The sequence below is a fragment of the Homo sapiens genome, chromosome 7 (genome assembly GCF_000001405.40).
Source record: "Homo sapiens chromosome 7, GRCh38.p14 Primary Assembly".
NCBI lineage: Eukaryota > Metazoa > Chordata > Mammalia > Primates > Hominidae > Homo > Homo sapiens.
This window is the reverse complement of record NC_000007.14, coordinates 142,286,511-142,306,921: the sequence shown is the minus strand read 5'-3', so window position 1 is coordinate 142,306,921 and position 20,411 is coordinate 142,286,511. Positions and strand designations below refer to the sequence as shown.

The 20,411-nt window shown below is 42.1% G+C and overlaps 2 pseudogenes, 1 gene segment (V, D, J or C) and 1 further gene, besides 7 other annotated features; 1 reads left to right on the top strand and 3 right to left on the bottom strand.

The window, feature by feature from the left end:
- TRB (T cell receptor beta locus) overlaps positions 1 to 7,911 on the bottom strand; it is a 514,277-nt gene extending 506,366 nt beyond the window's left edge.
- Positions 5,451 to 5,459: a recombination feature (RSS_nonamer).
- Positions 5,460 to 5,482: a recombination feature (RSS_spacer).
- Positions 5,483 to 5,489: a recombination feature (RSS_heptamer).
- On the bottom strand, positions 5,490 to 5,924 carry TRBV2 (T cell receptor beta variable 2). The segment is given in 2 exon segments: positions 5,490 to 5,787; positions 5,876 to 5,924. Coding segments are annotated over 2 exon segments (347 nt in total), but the record flags the coding sequence as incomplete, so codon positions are not given.
- Positions 7,423 to 7,431: a recombination feature (RSS_nonamer).
- Positions 7,432 to 7,454: a recombination feature (RSS_spacer).
- Positions 7,455 to 7,461: a recombination feature (RSS_heptamer).
- TRBV1 (T cell receptor beta variable 1 (pseudogene)) lies at positions 7,462 to 7,911 on the bottom strand (annotated as a pseudogene). The gene is given in 2 exon segments: positions 7,462 to 7,753; positions 7,871 to 7,911. Coding segments are annotated over 2 exon segments (333 nt in total), but the record flags the coding sequence as incomplete, so codon positions are not given.
- Positions 8,639 to 8,933: an enhancer, noted in NCBI's record as "tiled region #9540; K562 Activating DNase unmatched - State 12:CtcfO". NCBI's record gives its function as "activates a minimal TATA promoter and a strong SV40 promoter by Sharpr-MPRA in K562 cells {active_cell/tissue: K562}" and the evidence as "EXISTENCE:reporter gene assay evidence [ECO:0000049][PMID:27701403]".
- PRSS3P3 (PRSS3 pseudogene 3) lies at positions 15,312 to 19,674 on the top strand (annotated as a pseudogene).

The window sequence follows — 20,411 nt, the reverse complement described above, 5'->3', positions numbered from 1 at the left end:
CAGTACCTACCACATTGCACCACACAGCTGACATGGGAACCTTTTCAAAGAAGGAACGGGTGGGGAGGGAAGATAGTGAAATGACAAGAGGCTACATTCAATGGTGATGATCATAACTATGTAAAGATGTAACCATTCTTAAAGAGTAGACTTTAAATAAATATGTATTTCACTATTTTACGCAAGACTTTTTACCAAATCAGACGGACAGCGTCTGGGAGAGGCACTGGAATGAAACTGATAGAAAGAAACTCGCCTCATATGAGGCAATGTTAGTTCTGGTTGTTGTTTTGTTTTGTGTTTTACAGGAGATATGAAAAGCAAAAGTGTTTGATTGTCCATCAAGAATTGTCTAGACCGGGTGCAGTGGCTCACGCCTGTAAACCCAACACTTTGGGAGGCCAAGGTGGGCGGATCACGAGGTCAGGAGATCGAGACCATCCTGGCTAAAACGGGGAAACCCGTCTCTACTAAAAATACAAAAAAAAAAAAAATTAGCTGGGCGTGGAGCGGGCGCCTGTAGTCCCAGCTACTAGGAAGGCGGAGGCAGGCCTGAAGCCGGGAGGCGGAGCTTGCAGTGAGCCGAGATCCTGCCTCTGCACTCCAGCCTGGACTACAGAGCGAGACTTGGTCTCAACCAAAAACAAACAAACAAACAAACAAAAGAATTGTCCAAAGGATAAGAAGGACAAATAAATTGATTATGTACGTATTTTCTGACAGGGCCCGCCATACTGGAGAAGCGGAAAAAAGCTACAGAAAGGAGAGAGGATAGACGCTGGGATCCCTGGGAAGAGCCAGGCTGCCGACAAGAAAGTCAAAGAGGGAAGACAACATAATAATTTTATCATGGAGATAACTTAATCCACAAAAAGGTGGAGAGTTGTAGGGGCAAAAGGAATGAGACAGAAAGCTGCAGAAGAACTAGAACACGTCGAACTGAATGATACCAGGATGCATATTTTGAACATGGGTCATATTTTTGGCTGTCCAATATTTAAACCCCATCTTATATTTGAGCAATTCCCCAAAGTTTGCATCTTGGCGGGAAAAGCAAGTGTGTTGATATGTTTATAAGCAAAACCTTCCACCCTTCTAGAACCAAACTCTCCATCTCTGCCTCTTCTTTTTCACTTCTCATGAGAATATCACTCCACCTGGCAGAGCTGTCTCCCTCTTCCAGCTTCCCAAGAACGCACGGGAAATCTGTCCTGTCTCCTCTGGCGGAATAGAATGGATGAACAACTTCTTGTGTCCAATTACGTCAAATTTAGTTTCCTGAGCAGGGTCTTAGGAAGATTTCATTTCACCTGATTCTGTTTCTCTCTTCACACATGCTCAACACTGGGTTTCCAGGTTTGCAAGGGGACGAGGGCCATGGTTTCACTTCCATTCTATCAGCTGGCTGCTAGTTACTCGAGACTCTGACCCTGATTTAAAAAAAAAAAAATTATTTCATGCTGACAAAAATACAAAAGTCAACATTGCATATCAGCTCATGGGATCATATCCCTGCAGGTTGACCAGCAGCTGCCAGTTTTCCAAATGAAATTCAGACCAAAATCAGATAAGACATCCTGTCTCAGGCCAGGTGTCCCTCACCTTTGCAGAGCATCAGTTCATGCTATTTGCCTGTTGAGCTATTAAAATCTCGCTTGTTCACTTAAAACATTTACATTTATTATTTCTATTATTATATGAATCACAAATGTTTAACCCACAGTCATTTTTTAGCAACAATTAACACAAATTCAATGCAATGCCATGATGGATAGAGATTATTTATTAACAATGAAAAATGATTATACGTCATCTTATTTTTGTTACTGAGAAGAAGTTCTAGATTTTTTGTGAGGGTAGGAGTTTGAAAAGTCCAGGGGGACCCTGCCTCTCCAACCCTACGTTAGTTAGTCACTTTAGATATTTAATATTGAGCTTAGAAGTGTGTGTTTCCCATAGTCTGGTTTTAGGACTTTAGCTGATTTGAAAATGGCCCATACTACAGAAAGTTAAGAAATTTAGATTCTAGCATATAGAAATGAGATTCCTATCTTCAATACCTTCTTTTGTTCCATTCCAAAATAAACTGCAAAATTAACCTCCACAGGACAGCTAACGGTTTTCCTGTTAAACTGTTTGGCTAGACTTTCACTTCCGGGCAGCATGCTAGAATATGCATAGTAGAGTATAGAGATATTCTGAAGCTCCCTCCTACTGAATAACTAGAGCCTATAGAAAATGTATCTTTGCTGTATTTTTGGATTTCCAAGAAGTAAGGGAAATTCCAAATGCTTTTTGAAAAGGCGAAACAGGAGGCTGTAGTCAAAACAAAATGAAGAGCCTGTTTCAGATGTGCATCCTGGAGGTCTGTCCACGCCACCTTCTTTCCCATCTCCAGGTGTTTGGCATCATCTTTTGATATCTGGACAAGTCTAGCTTCCATGGGTCTTGGTAGACAGGGATAGATATTGAAGCTGGAAGCTGGAAGGGAGTCTGGTGAGGCTGTTTTGATAGAACCATTAGCTCAGACCCAGGAGACAGGTTTCCTATCCTTCGAAGAAGCCCTCACTCCAAGAACTTAGAGGAACATTCAGAAGAGGAAAAAGAAAAAAAAAAACCCTTTCTAGCTTAGGTTTTTCATCATTTAGAGTCAGGAGAATGGTGCTCCAGGTATTCTTTGGTCTGATAGGTAGATTTCCCTTGGTAATTACTCTCTTTGCAAGATCCCTCAAGGAAGCCCTGATTTGTCAGGCTCACTGCCCAGGTTCCAGGAAGTCATTTCATGGCAGGATTGAACTGGAGAAGAGGCCCAGCATCCAGAGCCTCTCTTATTCCTCTCAGGAAGAGTTCCTCCACTGGCATCTGCTTGTGAGCTCTGCTCTTTCCCAGCTCAAATTCTCTCCCTTTCTCATCCCATGCAGGTTCACATGCAACAAATCTGGCAGTCTAGGCTCTTTGCTAGATCAAAAGCACCTGCACAGCAAGGCAAATGAATAGTCTATATTTATCCTCTCACATTTCAGCATTAACACAGCTTCTGCAGACCACATTTTCCCCTGTTGTAAATAAACCCAATATTTCTTTTAACTGTCTCCCATCCTGAGAATGCTCTGCCCTTCCTCTGAGTTCCCTTAATCTCAGTAGAGTCACAGCTCCTCCTTGTGGTAAAAGGTCAAACGTGTCAAGACTCTGTCCCATGGTGGACCAAAGGCAGAAGGGTAATAGAACTCTTAGAAATAGAGATAATCTGGCCGGGAATGGAGGCTCATGCCTGTAATCCCAACACTTTGGGAGGCCGAGGCGGGCGAATCATGAGGTCAAGAGGCCAAGACTATCCTGGCCAACATGGTGAAACCCCATCTCTACTAAAAATACAAAAATTAGCTGGGTGTGGTGGTGCACGCCTGTAATCCCAGCTACTCCGGAGGCTGAGGCAGGAGAATCGCTTGAACCCCGGAGGCAGAGGTTACAGTGAGCTGAGATCGCCCCACTGCACTCCAGCCTGGGTGACAGAGTGAGAATCTGTCTCAAAAAGAAAAAAAAAAAGGGAAGGCAGAGAGGTTCACTCCTTCCTTTCTTCAAGATACTTCTACCTAAAATAAAAACATAAAACATTGCACCTCACCTTTAATAAATATAGAAACTGGCTTTCAGAGTTAATAGACTGATTTTTTGCAGAACAACACTCCCACCAAAAACAACTAGAAAAACTTAACAAAATATAAAAATAAACGTTTGAAGGCACTTGGAGCTACTGAGGCAGTAAGAACTTAAGGGATTGGGATCTCAACGAGAAAGGAGAGATCTAACAGACCACTTTCGCCTTAAGTCATTTGCCAGTTTTATATCGTTGGCTAAGTAGCTGAGAAGAAAAGGGAAGACTGAGAGTGTAGCAGGCTTTGAGGAGCATCCACCACCTTTCTGGTCTGGAGAACATTTACGTTCAGTGACTACTGAATAGGAGAGGAGCCTGGCAAAGACCCCAGTCCTTGGTGCTGGGGGTAGAAGCAGGGATTGACTGAAAATGAGCATGAAGGAACTTTCCGGGTGGGGAAAGATGAAATGTTTTAGAGCTGGATCATGGTGATTGTTGCACAACTCCACAAATTTATCAAAATTCATTGAATTGCATGCTTGCAATGGGCAAATATTATGTTATGTAATTTACAATTTGATTTAGCTGTTAAACTTCAGACATCTAGTTGGAACTTACATGGCTAAGAGCAAAGGCGAGCAGCCATCATGCAGGCTGAAGCTCAGGTCTGATCCAGCTCATTCATCAGCTCAATTAAGGTGATCCGCCCCTGCTACAATCCCAGCAGAAGCAAAAGTGAATCATTTGAGGAAGATGAAATCATTCAGAGCCTCAAATTATCTCTATAGTTTTTATATACAATATCCGGCATTCAAGTAAATTACTAGTTGTATGAGAAAACAAAATCACGTGCCCAGAAACTGAACAGAGAAAACAGACAAAAGAAATAGACCCAAACAGATTCAGATGTTAAAGTTATCAAAAAGTGGCTTTAAAATGACAGATGTTAATATAGTCAACAAAGTAAATGACAAAATATGCAATTTTAGCAAACAACTGGAAATTGTAGCAAGATTTAAATGGAAATTCCAGAACTGAAATATATAAAATACCTAAAATTTAGACTTCAATAGGTATGTTTAAAAGAGGAATAATTTCTTAAATGAAACTCAAGAAGTTAATCTGGCTGCTTCAGGTTAAGTTGAAAGTGACAAATTCATTCCTGCCTCTGCCTCTAGGTGTCTCTTGACTTTTGCTGCTGAATTCTGTTCCTGCACTGCCTTGCTTTATTCTGGCGATTCTCATGCTGGTCTAGAACTCTGTTGACCTTGAAATGGTGTGAAATATTAGACTCCATGTTTTCTACTCTCTTAACTTGTTATTTTGTGAGCTAGCATCATTAGCCCAAATGCATCACACCAGGTTCACAGGGTCATCAGATAGTTCTGCTCTTGACCACATGCTGAGCAAGAGTCATTGATAATTGAGTTCTTTGTACCAAGCCCCTTCTTCTGAAGATTTCTGTGAGCACCCTCTATATTCTCATGGAAATACCTGAACTCCCACTCAGGAATCATCTCGCCACCCTAGAAGTTAAAATATGTTTTCCTAAGCAACTAAAACAAAACAATTCTAATAAAGATGGCCAAATGGGAATGAGGAGAAGATATAAGTTACTTGGTTGTGTACAATTCTCTCATATTCAGAGCCCACCATCACACTCACACTCTGTAGTATCTGTAAACATTCTTCAAATCCTACAGTGTCTGGTCATTTCTGCCCAAGATACCTTTGGTAATTTAATTTCAGATATCTGTCTATTTGGAGACAGCTGCAAGAACAAACCCAACCAGAGACTTCCTTTTCTTAGGCAGGAAGTGGGAGCTGGCGGCTGGGAGGGAGGCAGCTCTGTGAGGGATTTTGCACAGGCTGGAGTTGTCTTTGCAAGGCTGTGGCTTCACTGCTGGCACAGAAGTACATGGCTGAGTCCTCCAGCTTTGTGGACCGGATCTTCAGAGTGAAATTTGATCCATCAGGCCTTTCAACTGAGAATTGATCATCGAATATTTCAGACTTCTCTGAGATTTCATTATTATAAAAGGAAACCAGAAACTCGACTTTCTGCCCCAAGATTTGTCTGTACCAATAGAAGTATAAGTGATTAGAGATGGGGACACAGCGCAAGATCACTTCCTGTCCCATCTGTGTGACCTGATGGCTGGGAGTCTGGGTGACTTCAGGTTCTGTGAGTCCTGTGAGAAAAGAAGAAGATTAAGAGAATGGTTTAGAATTGTCTTAGGTAAGTTCAAAGCAAGAATTTCCTAGAGTCTAAGCATCGACCTGCTTTCAAGAGACTAAAAATTGCCCAGCATACGAGCCAGGTATCCATGGCAGGATCACAGCAGGAATGAGGCCTTTCCTAGCTCAGGCATCTGGTCCTGTGGAGGAAAGGAGGGGCATTTTGAGCTCCCATGGCCCCACAGGCAAGGTCTGGCAGAATTACTGGTGTCTCTGGCAACACCCACCATCCCTGGAGCGCCCTCTATAGGAGAGAGGAGGGAGCCTTTGTGTTGTTGCAGAACCTGACAATGCAGGGCTGTGCTCAGCCCCTGGGATCTGATGGTGTGTGCAGGACTGAGGGCCATTAATTAATAAGAGCAATGCTGGAAAATATGGGGGTCAGCAAGGTAACCCTGAGTACAAAGTCTGGCTCAGAAATTCCAGGAGGTCTTGTTCTCTTATTACCTGCTGTGAGTAACAATTCAGGTACAACAGATTCCACGGCTGATAATGAATGCCAAGAAAACTTGGTATTAGGATTACAGAGATAGAAGGAAAAAGAATCAAGTGTGAATGTTTTAAATCCTGAGTGGAAGAGAGCAGCCAACAAGAAGTTGAAACTCTGCACATGCCCCAGGGAGAGGGAACTAGAGAACAGTGATCCAAACCCCATGGGGAAATACTGTCCTCAGGGTGAGGCAGTGATAGAGCCACCTGAGGAGGGGATTGGGTATTCTTTAGTTTTTCAAAAAAAAAAGAAAGAAAGAAAAAGAAAAGGACCTGCCGGGCGCGGTGGCTCACGCCTGTAATCCCAGCACTTTGGGAGCCCGAGGGGGGCAAATCAAGAAGTTAAGAGATTGAGACCATCCTGGCCAACATGGTGAAACCCTGTCTCTACTAAAAATACAAAAATTAGCCAGTCGTGGTGCTGGGCGCCTGTAGTTCCAGCTACCCGGGAGGCTGAGGCAGGAGAATCGCTTGAATCTGGAAGATGGAGGTGGAAGTGAGCCAAGATCGCGCCACTGCACTCCAGACAGTGAGACTCTGTCTCAAAAAAGAAAGAAGGAAAGAAAGAAACAAAGAAACAAAGAAAGAAAGAAAGAAAGAAAGAAAGAGAGAGAGAGAGAGAGAAAGAAAGGAGGGAGGGAGGGAGGAAGGGAGGGAAAGAAAAGAAAAAAAAAAAAAAGAAAGGAAAAGAAAAGAAAAGGTCTGACCATACATATTTGGAGCTGGGATGAGGGCTGAGATCCAGGGTCTAACTTGAGTCAAAAGAAAAGTCAAAAAACAGTCCATATTGGAAGGTGGATTGGTGAGGCCAGAGTGTTAAATACCTCACACAACATTTCCCAGAGGCACAAACCGACTGAAAGATACTTGGAAAAACTTAAACTTGACGGCATCTGTCCTACATTCAAGTTCAGGCACAGTCTCATTCAAGACAAACTCAGGCCACAGGCTGCAGGAGTCTGGGCAATTTAGCATTGCCACATCCAATAAATGACAGTATTATGATCTGAGATGTCTGCTGAGGTCTTACAGAATGCTGAACCGAGTGCTGAGGCTCAGCTGGATGCGTTGCCCCCACGGTTTTCTGATTAGATCCAGGAGGTTTGTGCACAGGGAGGCGGTGACTCTGCAGGGCTGTGTCTTGGCTGCTGGTGCAGAGATACGCAGCTGAGTCTTCTTGCTGCAGTGCGACCACATGAAGGTATAAGCGAGAGCTGTCAGGGCATTCAGGTGTGAAGTGATTTGGCACAGTCTTGTTTTCAATGAATTCCTTACAGTTGTAGTAAAACATGAACTCCAGGGATTTCTTAGCTTTCTGTCTGTACCAATACATAGAATCATGTCCCAGATGCTCACGTTTCATTGTCCTTTTACTCCCCATTGCTGTGACCAGGTATTTTGGTGTCTGGGTAATTCCAGTATCCATGGAGCCTATGAAAATAAGAAGCCAAATTCAGACTAAGCCTAGGACAGAATCTTCTGAAGCAGTTCCATGAAAAAAGCAAAAAATTTAAGGACAGAAATGTCCCACCTGTGCCCAGGACTCACCTGAGACAATGGACCACACCACAGTGGAGACTTCAGCCCATGGCAGGGTCACCCGGGGCACAGGCAGGGGGACCCTGTGTCTCCCTGCTCTGTGTCCTTGTCGTCTGGGTGTGCTTCCCTGGCCCTGAGACAGGGGCTGCTTGGGAAGTCTCTGCTCCTGTTGGTGTCACTATTAGTGTCTACAGCTCACACTTCCTCTTTCCTTTCCAAGCTTGGCACTGGCACCTCAAGAGGTGGGTTTAGACTAGCTTCTCAGGGCCAGGTGTGCAGGGCGGGTTCTTTAGACAGTTGCTTTTTTCTTAGCAGCTGCCTGCCCTTCCCACAACGAATGAATGGGTCTCCCCTTCCTCTTTCTACTTATGGCTCCCCTCCTCCCTAACACACAGACCCCTTCCCTTTGGGCAGATGCCTTCCCGATGCCTGTCTTGGACCCAGGATGAGCACACTCCAGCTCCCCTCCCTCATCTCAGTGAATTCCAGGAGGACACCTCACCTAGCTCAGTGGAGCCCTTCCCTGGAGCCAGCTGTGCATCATTTTAAGACCCAGTAAGGTAATGCCAACTAGGGAGGAAGCACCTTTCAGTGGGTGCTCGAGGGGACATGAGAGAAATAATCTGCGACCCCTACCCCCAGGGAGCATCTCACCTACTTAGGATGCAGGACCTGAACACAGACTAGAATAACAGGAGGCCCTAAGGGCATGAGCAGAGGGACTGCAGAGATGCAGGTCCAGGTGGAATGGACTTTAGTGTCTTCAAGTTGTCCACACATGGTCTCTCAACTACAACAAGGAGCAAACCCTGATACCAGAGCATTTGATTCCTTCGTTAGTCCTTTCCTCCCTCCTGCCTCTCTTCTCCCTCCACATGACTCAGGAATTTCACTAAAGTCGTAGCTCCTCCTGGAGGTGAAAGAGGCACATTGCCCTCATGTCAGCCATCTGCCCTCAGTCCTCCTGATACAGCATTGAGAGAATAGAATACAAAGGGATTCCGCAGGGGAATGCACAAAACAAGAAGGCATTTGAAACGCCGAAGTAAAGGTTTAGCAACTCTAACTACCACCTACTGGTGAAATGCCTCCAACAACCTCCATATACACACTTAAGATATCAAAATAATATTATCCAATAGGTATTTATGGAACACATAACTATATGTCAGGCACTGTTTGAGGACCAGGAATATAACAGTGAATAAAACCAACTCTCATGGGCACATGGGCCATTTTAATTTGTTCAAACAGCTTTTGTGAATAATATTCACATTCTCAAAGTGCTTCAGGGATTACAGGAGCTATAAGACATGTTTGACGTGGGCTGGGCATGGTGGCTCACGCCTGTAATCCTAGCACTCTGGGAGGCCGAGGTGGGCGGATCACGAGGTCAGGAGTTTCAGACCAGCCTAGCCAATATGGTGAAACCTCATCTCTACTAAAAATACAAAAAAATTAGCCAGGGGTGGTGGCGTGCACCTGAAGTCCCAGCTACTCAGGAGGCAGAGGCAGGAGAATCGCTTGAACTCGGGAGGCAGAGGTTGCAGTGAGCCAAGATTGTGCCACTGCACTCCATCCTGGATGACAGACTGAGACTCCATCTTAAAAAAAGAAAGACATGTTTGACATGTTTAGAGATAACATCTAATTTGGAAAGTTTTACAGGGTATGCTTTAGGAGGGTTAAAGGGTTTTAGGTGCCTAAATCATTTCATCTACTGACCTTCTTATTGCCTCAATCTTGAAATCTGGTTGTGGGGAGAGGCTGAAATAATTTTCCCCAACTGTCTACCCAGCTCCGAAACAATGTAAGCCAAGCAGGGTAGACTTCACTAGGCTGCTGTGCCAGAAGCTTACATGGTTCATGGCCACTGTCAAAATACTTTACAGAGTGCGGGTGCTTAATACATATTTGCTTAGTTGGTCAATGAATAGATAGATGGAATGGAAAACAGTAAAAATCATATGTAAAAGGTAGGTCTAAGCACTTAAAAATTGTATTTCTAATCTGCTATGGTTGGCATTGGTATATTTGTATCTGCAAATCTACAGAAATCGGGTCATAGTCTCAGTATGTAAGGCTGGAATGTAACTGATAAAAACAATTTTTATTTCAAAGGTTTTATTTATGAATAATAATCTTTCAATGTTGATGAAGCATTGTGCAAAGATGATACGGAAATAGAGGGGTTGTTAATTCTTAAATTCTCCTTCCTGTCAGGGTCCCCATCATTCTTTCAGCATTTCCTTACTTTATGGCACAAGGGGTTCTAGGCTTTTCCTGCCTGTCTTTGTATCTACTATATGTCCAAAAAGTCCTGGTTCCTTCTAGTGGACAGTGGTATTTAGAAAACAGAATATGGATACTAGATCTTTTGGGGTGCTTTTGGGGGGAACTACTCTTAGGTATCACAGTGGACAGAGCTGTACATACACATATGTTTTCACAGTACACATATATTTACAGATATCTTTAATTCCTGTCTATACATATTGAGAAGCGATGAGTTCACACTAGTTCCAATCCCGTATTATAAGGTTTATTCTTATGTTCTTGTGTTCTAGTGTTTTCTCTTTCCATATTTGCAACTCTCTTATCCAATAACTGAGAAACATGGTTCTGTTATCCTTATAGATTTACATATTTGATTAGTCCCTTTACAGGTAACTAAATGTGTGCTGTGGCTGCCATCATCTCTCCTTTGTAAATGGCCTCCTCTCTCCGTTCAAGTTCTGACTTCCTGTGCCATGGAGACCACCCATGTTGAAACTCTCCTCACCTCAGTCCAATTTCTGACACACCACACGAGGGATGCCTTGCCCCACGCGGTGCCCTTTGCAGTCTGCTGGGGCTTCCACAATCTGCAGGAGGCTGCTTTCCTCATCCCCTTTTGACTCCACCCCACTTTTGGGGAGACACCTTCCACATGCTGCATGGTCTCTGTCACCTTCCAACAGGCCTCCCTTCTACACAGATACAAAGAAATGCACGTTAGTCCTCTGTATTTCATGTCGCTGTGTGTTTATTGCATAACTTGAGGCATCTGACATGGGCGATGATCAGGGAAGACCTCAGGACCTTTCAGGAAGATCTTCTTAGTGTACAGGGTGGTGGTTGCAGCTAATGAGCTTGTTTGTACTTGATTTGTCCGGGTTTACAAATATATAGAAGGACCCTGATTGCAATGGGTACCATGTGAAAGGGGGAAATAAATCCATACAAATAAAAAAAAACTACAGGTTATTCATCTTGGTTTTCAGTGTGTGTGAATATTCTAGATGGTGTGACTGAGCCAATATTGAGAAGAAATAACTTTTTAAAATCACTATATGATATTTGACTGACCATCAAATAATCGGGCCCAAACTATTCTCATCAGCATTCATAGACTATATAGAAAACCAATTATCAGTTGGGGATTGATGCAATTGGAGAAGGTTTTTTGAAGGAGAGTACTCTAAGCCAGATCTTAGGGCAATCTATCTAATCCTGTTCCAAGTATTTTTTTTCTAAGAAACTATTTCTGCTGAATTGTCTACAAAGAAGCCAGCATTAGCTTTGACTACTACTACCTGGCATGCTATTTCCCAGTAACAGGGAGACACTTTTTTGATTTCCTTTCACAATTTGTAACTGCTACCTAAAGAGAAAAATGTATATTTGCTGGGCTGGAGTTTTCACTTATCTGACTCATCTTTAACTATTTTAGAACCTACAATCTTCTTTTCGCTTTGTTGTCTACTTATCTTCTTACTATCTCTCTCCTGATCCTATGTCCCCAAGCTATAGGACAGAGAGAAAAAGAGTCAAAGCTCTAACAAGACGATTTTCCAGCTCGACAGAAGGAAGAAGTTTCCAGAAGGTCCTGTGGTTTCCTGTCCAGAATAGAGGCTGGATGACTGTTGGTGAAGATGTTTTGGACAAGGCTTAAGTGCCCAATGGGGCAAAGAAGAACAGAAGAACTTAAGCATCTACTCTATGCCAGAGACAGTGTCATAAACTGGAAATTTTAACATACAATATTTTCTTCAGAAGCTCGTATTCTAGTTGAAGAGAAAAGGAAATCAAAGCCTGCAACAAAATTCAAAAGTTATAATAGCAACATGCACAGGGTTTCAAAATGGCACCGATAAGAAATAGAACGGATTAGCATCTAACCAATTGGGGCATTATGGCAGTAGAGTTAGGGGAGGTCATAGGTTAATGTCAGAGATTAATTATAGATAGAGATGATACTTCAGGTAAATTTAATGGATGACTAGAAGTTCACCAGCAAAGAGGGAAAGTAACCTCATTCATTCATTCAGCAGTTATTCACTGAGCAATTACTATGTGCCACGTACATACCGGCTTTGAGGTGTAATAGTGAGCAAATCAGACATCATTTATGCCCTCAGGAATTTTAAACAACCTGGAAAAAATAGACATTAAGCAGATATTTATACAAGTAATATGTGACTGGAAGTAAATGTAATGAAAGTAAAGCTGCCTAGAAAGTTCAGGAAGGCCTGACTTTAGTTGGAGAATGCAGGTGGAGTTCAGAGTTCTCCACGATTAGAGTTGAAGAATGATGGGAGTTAACCAGGTAAGGTGTGTGGGAAGGCACAGAGGTTTAAAACAGCATACAGTGTCCAAGAACATGAACTTTGGTGCTGGAATTTAAACTTATCCTGATGTCAATGTGGAGCCACCAAAGCATTTTAAGCGGAAAATGTAATGATCCATGTGCATTTTAGAAAGATTACTCTGATGTGGAGAGTGAGTTGAAGGAGAATAAAGCCACAAACAAGGAAGTGGTTTTAGCACGATTTCAATAATTCAGGAGAGAAAATGTGATACTGAACCAAGTCATAGGTGGTTGACTTGAAAGGAAAATCAAGGATCTTCAAAGAAAAGTCAAGGATCTTTAAGACAGGTAAAATCGTCAAGACTTTGAATACAGGTAGTAAGCAAGGTGGATAAAGAAGTTAAGGGTGGGCCAGGTGTGGTAGCTTAGGCCTATAATCCCAGCACTTTGGAAGCCCAAGGCAGGTGGATCACCTGAGGTCAGGAGTTCGAGACCAGCCTGGCCAACATGGCAAAATCCCATCTCTACTAAAAATACAAAAATAACCCGGCATGGTGGCACACGCCTGTAATCCCAGTTACTTGGGAGGCTAAGGCAGGAGAATCGCTTGAACCCAGGAGGAGGAGGTTGCAGTGGGCCGAGATCGCATCATTTGCACTCCAGCCTGGGTGATAAGAGTGAAACTCAGTCAAAAAAAAAAAAAAGTTAAGGGTGACTTCTGTGTTTCAAGTTTGGCTAACCATATGTGTGTAGCTTCATTGCACTGACAGAAAATATAGAAAGAGAAAGCTATGATGAATTCAGCGCTAGACTAGCTGACCCTAGGTATGGGAGCAGACATGTTCAGTAGAAGTTGGATCTGAGAAGAGCTCAGGTGAGAGTCAGTATTTGAGGGACTGATTATGAATGATAAGAAATTAGATTATAAAAAGGCCAAGAGAGGTAATGTGCACAGTGAGAGAAGAATTTATCCATTGGTTGTATTGAAAGTATTTCATTCTTCGAGTAACGCAGCTCTGTTTAACAGTGCTTTGTGTCATCACAGTAAAACTCTATTAAATCAAGAAAGTCAAGAGTAGTCCTTAACCAGATGAGGTCTGTAAATCCCATACTTCCCTCTGAAGGCATGTTTATGAATAACTTCAGCAACAATATTTGCCATACTTGAAAAATGAAGAATCCTCCTGATGAATGTCTGGATGTCTCCTATCATACTCTTGCTGTTTCCCAGAGGTCTTGGAATATCGATAAAGTTGGTTGGTGTGATCTCGGCTCACTGCAACCTCCACTCCCCAGGTTCAAGCGATTCTGCTGCCTCAGCCTTCTGATTAGCTGGGACTACAGGTGCCCGCCACCATGCCTGGCTATTTTTTTTTGTATTTTAGTAGAGACGGGGTTTCACCATGTTGGCCAGGATGGTCTTGATCTCCTGACCTCGTGATCTGCCCACCTCGGCCTCCCAAAGTGCTGGGATTATAGGCTTGAGCCACTGCGCCCAGCCCTGTTCTCTCTTATTATATTCACGGCATCACTGTTGAGGGCATGAACCCTGAAGTGAGGCTGCTTAAGTTTTAACCATAGATTGGCCACTTAACAGCTATGAAACTTTGATATACTCACTTGACTTCTTTTAGCCTCTTTCTCCACATCTCTTAAATGGTGAAATTTGTAGTTTAACACTTACGATGCTGCTTGTGAAGACTGAATGAGTTGATGCACGTAATCCACTTCCACAGTGCTGGACACATAGTAAATACTTTAAAAATTTCAGCTATGTTATCATTGTCCAAGAATTTTGCATTATCTTGGCATCCAGATTTTGGTGAACTTACTGAGAGAAGTGTTTCATAGTGGTCAGGACCACAGACTCTGAAGGAAGATTTTTCTGGGTTGGAATGCTGATGTTACCGTGTATTTGCTATGTGATTTTGGTCAAATCCCCTACAGTTTTGTGTGCCTTAGTTTCCACATCTGTAAAGTGGGAATTATAATAGGTATCTTATATGGTTGTTGTGAAGATTACTAAATTAATATGGGCAAATACTTAAAATATCCCTGACATACGTGTATGTCAGTATTCTACATACTTACTGACTTATTCAATAAGTACTTAGAATAAGTACAGTAAGCTCAAGATAATTATAAGCTCAAGAAAATTATAAGTTATTAGCATTTTTTAACTTTCCTCCTTTTCTCTATTATAAGTTCAATTAATAGCAATCTTCTTTTTCTAAGGGAAACAAGCTGTTCCTTTAACAATGAGAAGGTGAAGTACCACCTGTTGGGTACTATGCTTACTGCCTGGGTGATGAGGTTGTTGGGACCCCAAGCCTGGGTGTCACGTAATTTACTTATGCAAAAAACCTGCATATGTACCCTTTAATTTGTAATAAGAGTTGAAATTTTAAAAAGAGAAAAGCTAACATGGATATATAAGACCAGAGCAGTCAAAAGACAAAGTATATAATTGTAAAAGAGTCTACATTATGAAACTTCAAAAGTGCAGTCGTTCTTAGAATAAACATATACAGTTGAGATGCCCAACTACTTAAGATTTTTTATCTGGGAATCTGGACACCTGTAACTCTGTCCTGTGACCTTACTCCGCCTTACTTACCTATTATGGGGTACAGTTTCTACCAGGTGGGCTTATTACTTTCAGTCCCATGACCCTCTAGAAAAGTAGGCAAATGTTAATGTTTAGAATTTATGTTGAGTTATCTTGCATCTGTCACAGAATTTAGATTTAGATTTGTGAGTTTCCAGTGAAATCACTTTTCTGGCCCCTGTGGCCATGAATGTCAAGACAAGTCCGTTGGTATAAATGGCTGTGGAAGAAAAGTGTCATCCTATTTCCAAGTCCAGGTGAAGTGAGCAACCACGAAGACCTTCATCTTCCTGCTCTCCTGGGAGCTGCTGGTGAGTATCTTTTAATGAGTGAATCAGCGGATGTCGAACATAAACTTAAGTTTGTACTTTATACTCTGGAAGACAACAATGAATGTTGAATCTGGTCTCTGTATTCAAGAAGCTTAAAATATTGAAACAACAGTGCAAAATACATATGTTTGTGGATAATTAAATTTCACTTGTTGGAGGAAGTTCACAGTGAGCAAAAGTGATCAGGGTAGAAGATATAAAGACACAGGACTTGCTCTCAACTTCTGGGTAATATTAAGGAAGAAGGAGAGAGAAGGAAAAGATAGCCCAGATTAAGGAGGCGCTTATCCTGACCTTTCCAAGAATTTGGAGTTAATAATTGAAACTAATCGTGTGCTCTTAAAGAGGCTGCAGGTGTCAGAGCCTGCACCTTCTCCACACTAAAGGGCTAGTGATATAAAGCCAAAGGGAAAAGCAATTTTCTTTCTCATGAATAAAAGCTATGGGCTGTGTTTTACGATATTTTTGCCATGGATATCTCTCTGGTGTAAAGTAACATGTCATTTCATCATGAATATAATAGAAAAATGATGAGTTTTCCTTTTATACTACTAAATTTTATAAGACTAAAACTTAATACTAAATTTTCTCAAGTTAGGCAGGTATAAATTCAATTCATCTGTCTACACACCTGCTAACTTCTTTCCTAAAACTATTAAAAATATCTGAACAATGGGGCTCATAAAATATAATCACAAACTTTTGGAGCTACAAGATATAAAGTGGGCTAGACTTTAAAAGCTGAATAAATTCGTAAGTGTTGGAAAGATAATTGGGATAAGAGGAAAGGCTGAAGAGGGTCATCCTATAATGCTCTGTAAAATGATTTTAATAAAAATTCTAGACTGGAATCAAGAAGAGAAATTAGGAGAGCAAAAATATAAATCTCTAATTTCCTTCCAGACGAGAAAATTCTCAGGTGCCTTAGTTTTTTTTTGTTTTTTTATGAGACAGAGTCTCGCCCTGTCGCCCAGGCCGGAGTGCAGTGGTGCCATCTTGGCTCACTGCAAGCTCCGCCTCCCAGGTTCATGCCATGCTCCGCCTCAGCCTCCCGAGTAGCTGGGACTACAGGCGCCCGCCACCACGCCCAGCTAATTTTTTGTATTTTTAGTAGAGACGGGGTTTCACCGTGTTAGCCAGGATGGTCTCGATCTCCTGACCTCGTGATCCGCCTGCCTCGGCCTCCCAAAGTGCTGGGATTACAGGCATAAGCCACCGCAACCAGCCTCAGGTGCCTTTTTAAAGCTTCCTTTCTGTTACTGTATGGGGCTCTCTCTCCCATACCAACATCCTACCAACGACCACAAACCAACATCAGCATGACTACTGAAAAGCATTACACCTAATTGTATGGCTGCGGAGCAGAGTTCTGTGAAAAAAGTTTCCTTGTGTCTTCAGGAAGTGATATTCAGGACATTTACTGTGTCAAGAGTTTCTGATCTTTGAGTGTGTGTGTGCGCGCGCTCGTGTGTGTGTGTGTCTGAATAGTACATATATTAAAAAAAGAATGCATTTATCAAAGTTAAAGCATAAATTAAAAAATAGATAGTTATAATGTTATAAGTGGGGTACAATTTAAAGGTATGGGATAATAAATTTCCCCCCCAAATTACCTTAAAGCCACCATTTCCTGATTATGTGAGACAAGAGAACGTTCTGCTCTTTTGGTAAATCTGAGAAAACTTTTCATGATATTGTAGAAACTTTAAGATGAATCTGTTTAACTGATAGTTCCCAACTTTCCTCTGTCAGCCACTTTCCCCACTAGTGATGATGATGACAAGATCGTTGGGGGGCTACACCTGTCAGACGAATGCTGTCCCCTATCAGGGTCCCTGAATGCTGGCTATCACTTCTGTGGTGGCTCCCTCATCAATAACAAATGGGAGGTGTCCACGGCTCACTGCTATAAGTCGTAATTCATTGATACTCATTTTCTTATGCACTAAGATTAATTAATCCTCTATCCCTGACAAAACACAATCCAGAGTAAACTGCAGAGTTGTGCTTGAGGGTGAGGCATTCAGACCTCCAGAGACTTCTTATTTTCTCAGGCATTATCTGATGTATAAAGGGGGGTTTGCATGGAGAGGTACCCTTCAGGGTTCCCTGATGTCTTCCCAAATGATGGTATTCAAGATATGGAAGGGAAATAGTGAGTGATGAACTATCCCTAGAAATAGCTTATGACATGAATCAGTACATAGTGCTAATTACTGTAGCTCAGCCAGTATAAACTGTATATGGAAGTAATAAAATACAGAGAATTTACAGTGCAACATTAAAAATATGCATGATTCATTCTGTTCCCTTAACATTCTGCCATTTCTCTGACTCCTGCTTCATTCCCTGTGATAACTGGTGATCCCAACCAGAGAGAAATGGCAAATGCTGATCAATCTCCACCAACTTCCTTTTTATCTCCAACTGTTTTATTCAAGTCCTTGAGTTCTCATTCCCATTCCTTACTATTCTAACAAGATGGCGGGCAGTGAGTCTGCACTTGCAGTGACACTTCTCTAAGGAAAACTCTAACCTGTACCATGTGGTGGTGCAGAATGCTACCTTAAGTGCACAATTACTGTATGACCGATTGCTTGAAAAGGATGGTGTCTGTGTTTATGCTCATAAATGGGGGGTCAGGAGGAGTGGAAATAACTCAAGCTAGATACTTAGGAACCTCTTATATCTTTTAATCCAGCCAAATCCATGTGCATCTTGGAGAATACAACATTAAGGTCTATGAAGGCAATGAACAATTCATAAATGCAGCCAAGATTATTTGCCACCCCAAGTATAACTCAGCCACCATTGATAATGACATCATGCTGATTAAGCTGAGCTCAGTCGCCACCATCAACTCTCAAGTGGCCACCATCTCTCTGCCAAGATCCTGTGCAGCGGCTGGTACTCAGTGCCTCATCTCTGGCTGGGACAACACCCTGAGCAGTGGCTTTAGTGTCGCCTGAAACAGAAGTACCAAGTGTGACAATTTTAGAGCTGAAAGACATGTGGAAAGTCAGCTAGTCCAAACTCACTTAAGGTTAAGTTCCCAGAGCATAGTTTTTGGATACATGGAATCTCAGAAATATACTATTAATAATTGAAATGAAGAAGATTCCTTTGCTGGAACCATGCAGAAGACATAATAATGAAGTACTATGAAGATATCAGGGTATTTAACTGAAGTGTGATTAGTGATGGGCAGAGAACTATAAACTGAGGAGGTAAACAAAACAAAGACTCAGGGATTTGGTCTTGCTTGGAGCATTCAATTGGAATGAATTGGAACAATTCATTGATTAGAACTATTTGGGAAAGCTTCTAGAAAAGAAAGTATTGCTCTCTCAAATGAGAAGCCGTTGGCTAATTGAAAGAAAAAGTGAGAGTATTGGGGAAGAGGGGAGATGTATTGAGAAAGAAAATTTTGGAAACCTCATGAGTAATCTTGCATTTTTCACTCTTCCACTCCACGGCCAACTACCCTGATCTCCTGCAGTGTCTGAAGGCTCCCATTCTCTCTAACACTGCTTGCCGCACAGCCTACCCAGGCAAGATTACTACAAACATGATATGTCTGGGATTCCTGGAGGGTTGAAAGGACTCTTGCCAGGTTAGTTTCTTTGTACTGCTTCTCAATTCCAGCTTATTCTTAGTCTTCTCCACCATAATTCCCCTTTTCAGAAACACAGAAGATTGTAAAACTGTCCCTATAACTGATTGTGAGAGGTGAGGGATAGCCTTGGGACAAATTAAATATTTTATTTTTATTGTATTAATGTCTAGGTTTAAGAGTTAAAAGATGCACAGAAGATGGTGTGCAAATAGTATTTCTAAGTGCCCTTCTGAGGAGGTAAACTGTGGAAAGGAACTCTAGTGGAAGGAGCAGAGCTAGTTAAGCAGCATGAAACCTCCTCTTGGCCCACTTGGCCTACCAAGGAAAGAGAAGGGGCTCAAATAAGGTATAAGGAAGACTAACTACTGATATAGTAAGTAGATTGAGGGTTGGAGGGTTTCAAGAGGAAGAGAAAGTGCTTCATGCTGGATCAGCAGTGTGGGACAATGGCTCCAGCACAATGGAAGAACATCTTACGGCCCATTCTCCCATCTGGGCATAAATAAGATCTCTGAATATCCCTTCCTTTTTGCCCAGGGTGACTCTGGTGTTCCTGTGGTCTGCAACGGAGAACTCCAGGGCATTGTCTCCTGGGGCTATGGTTGTCCTCAGAAGAACAAACCTGGAGTCTACACTAAAGTTTGCAACTACGTGAAATGGATTCAGCAGACCATTGCTGCCAACTAAACACCTTTATCTCTTCATGTTCCATATCCTATTCATCAACTTTACCTTCTTTCTATGCCAAAACACAGTATCTAAATAAAAATATACTGTCTTGTACCACGTCTTTTCAAGAATGGTCCCTGTCGGCATTGATTAACTTTCTCTTGAAACTAGCTGTTAAGAAGGTGGACATAGGGCCAAACTATTATATTGAGAAAATGTGAAAGGTTATTGATGTGGTTTGGCTGTGTGTCCCCACCCAAGTCTCATGTCGAATTGTAATTCCCAGTATTGGAGGTGGGGCCTGGTGGGAGGTGATTGAATTGTGGGGGCAGGCTTCCCCCTTGCTGTTCTTGTGATAGAGTTCTCCCAAAACCAGCTTGTTTCAAGTGGGTTGCACCCCCCTAATCCTGCCATCCACATGAAGATGTGTTTGCTTTCCCTTCTACCATGATTATAAGTTTCCTGAGGCCTCCCAAGAAGCAGAAGCCTGTACAGCCTGCAGAATCATGAGCTGCCTAAACTTCTTTTCTTTATAAATTACTCAGTTGCAGGCATGTCTTTATAGCAGTGTGAGAATGGACTAATGCAGTTATTTAGTCATTAATTCAACCTAATCAATATAAGTTTACTGATCACCAACTATATGCCAAACTCTATGTGATACATTGAGAATAAAAAGGTGAACAAGCTTAGAGGTCACTGTTACCACCACATTTTGTTTTTTTACAAAATCAAGAACTCTAAAAATATGTCAG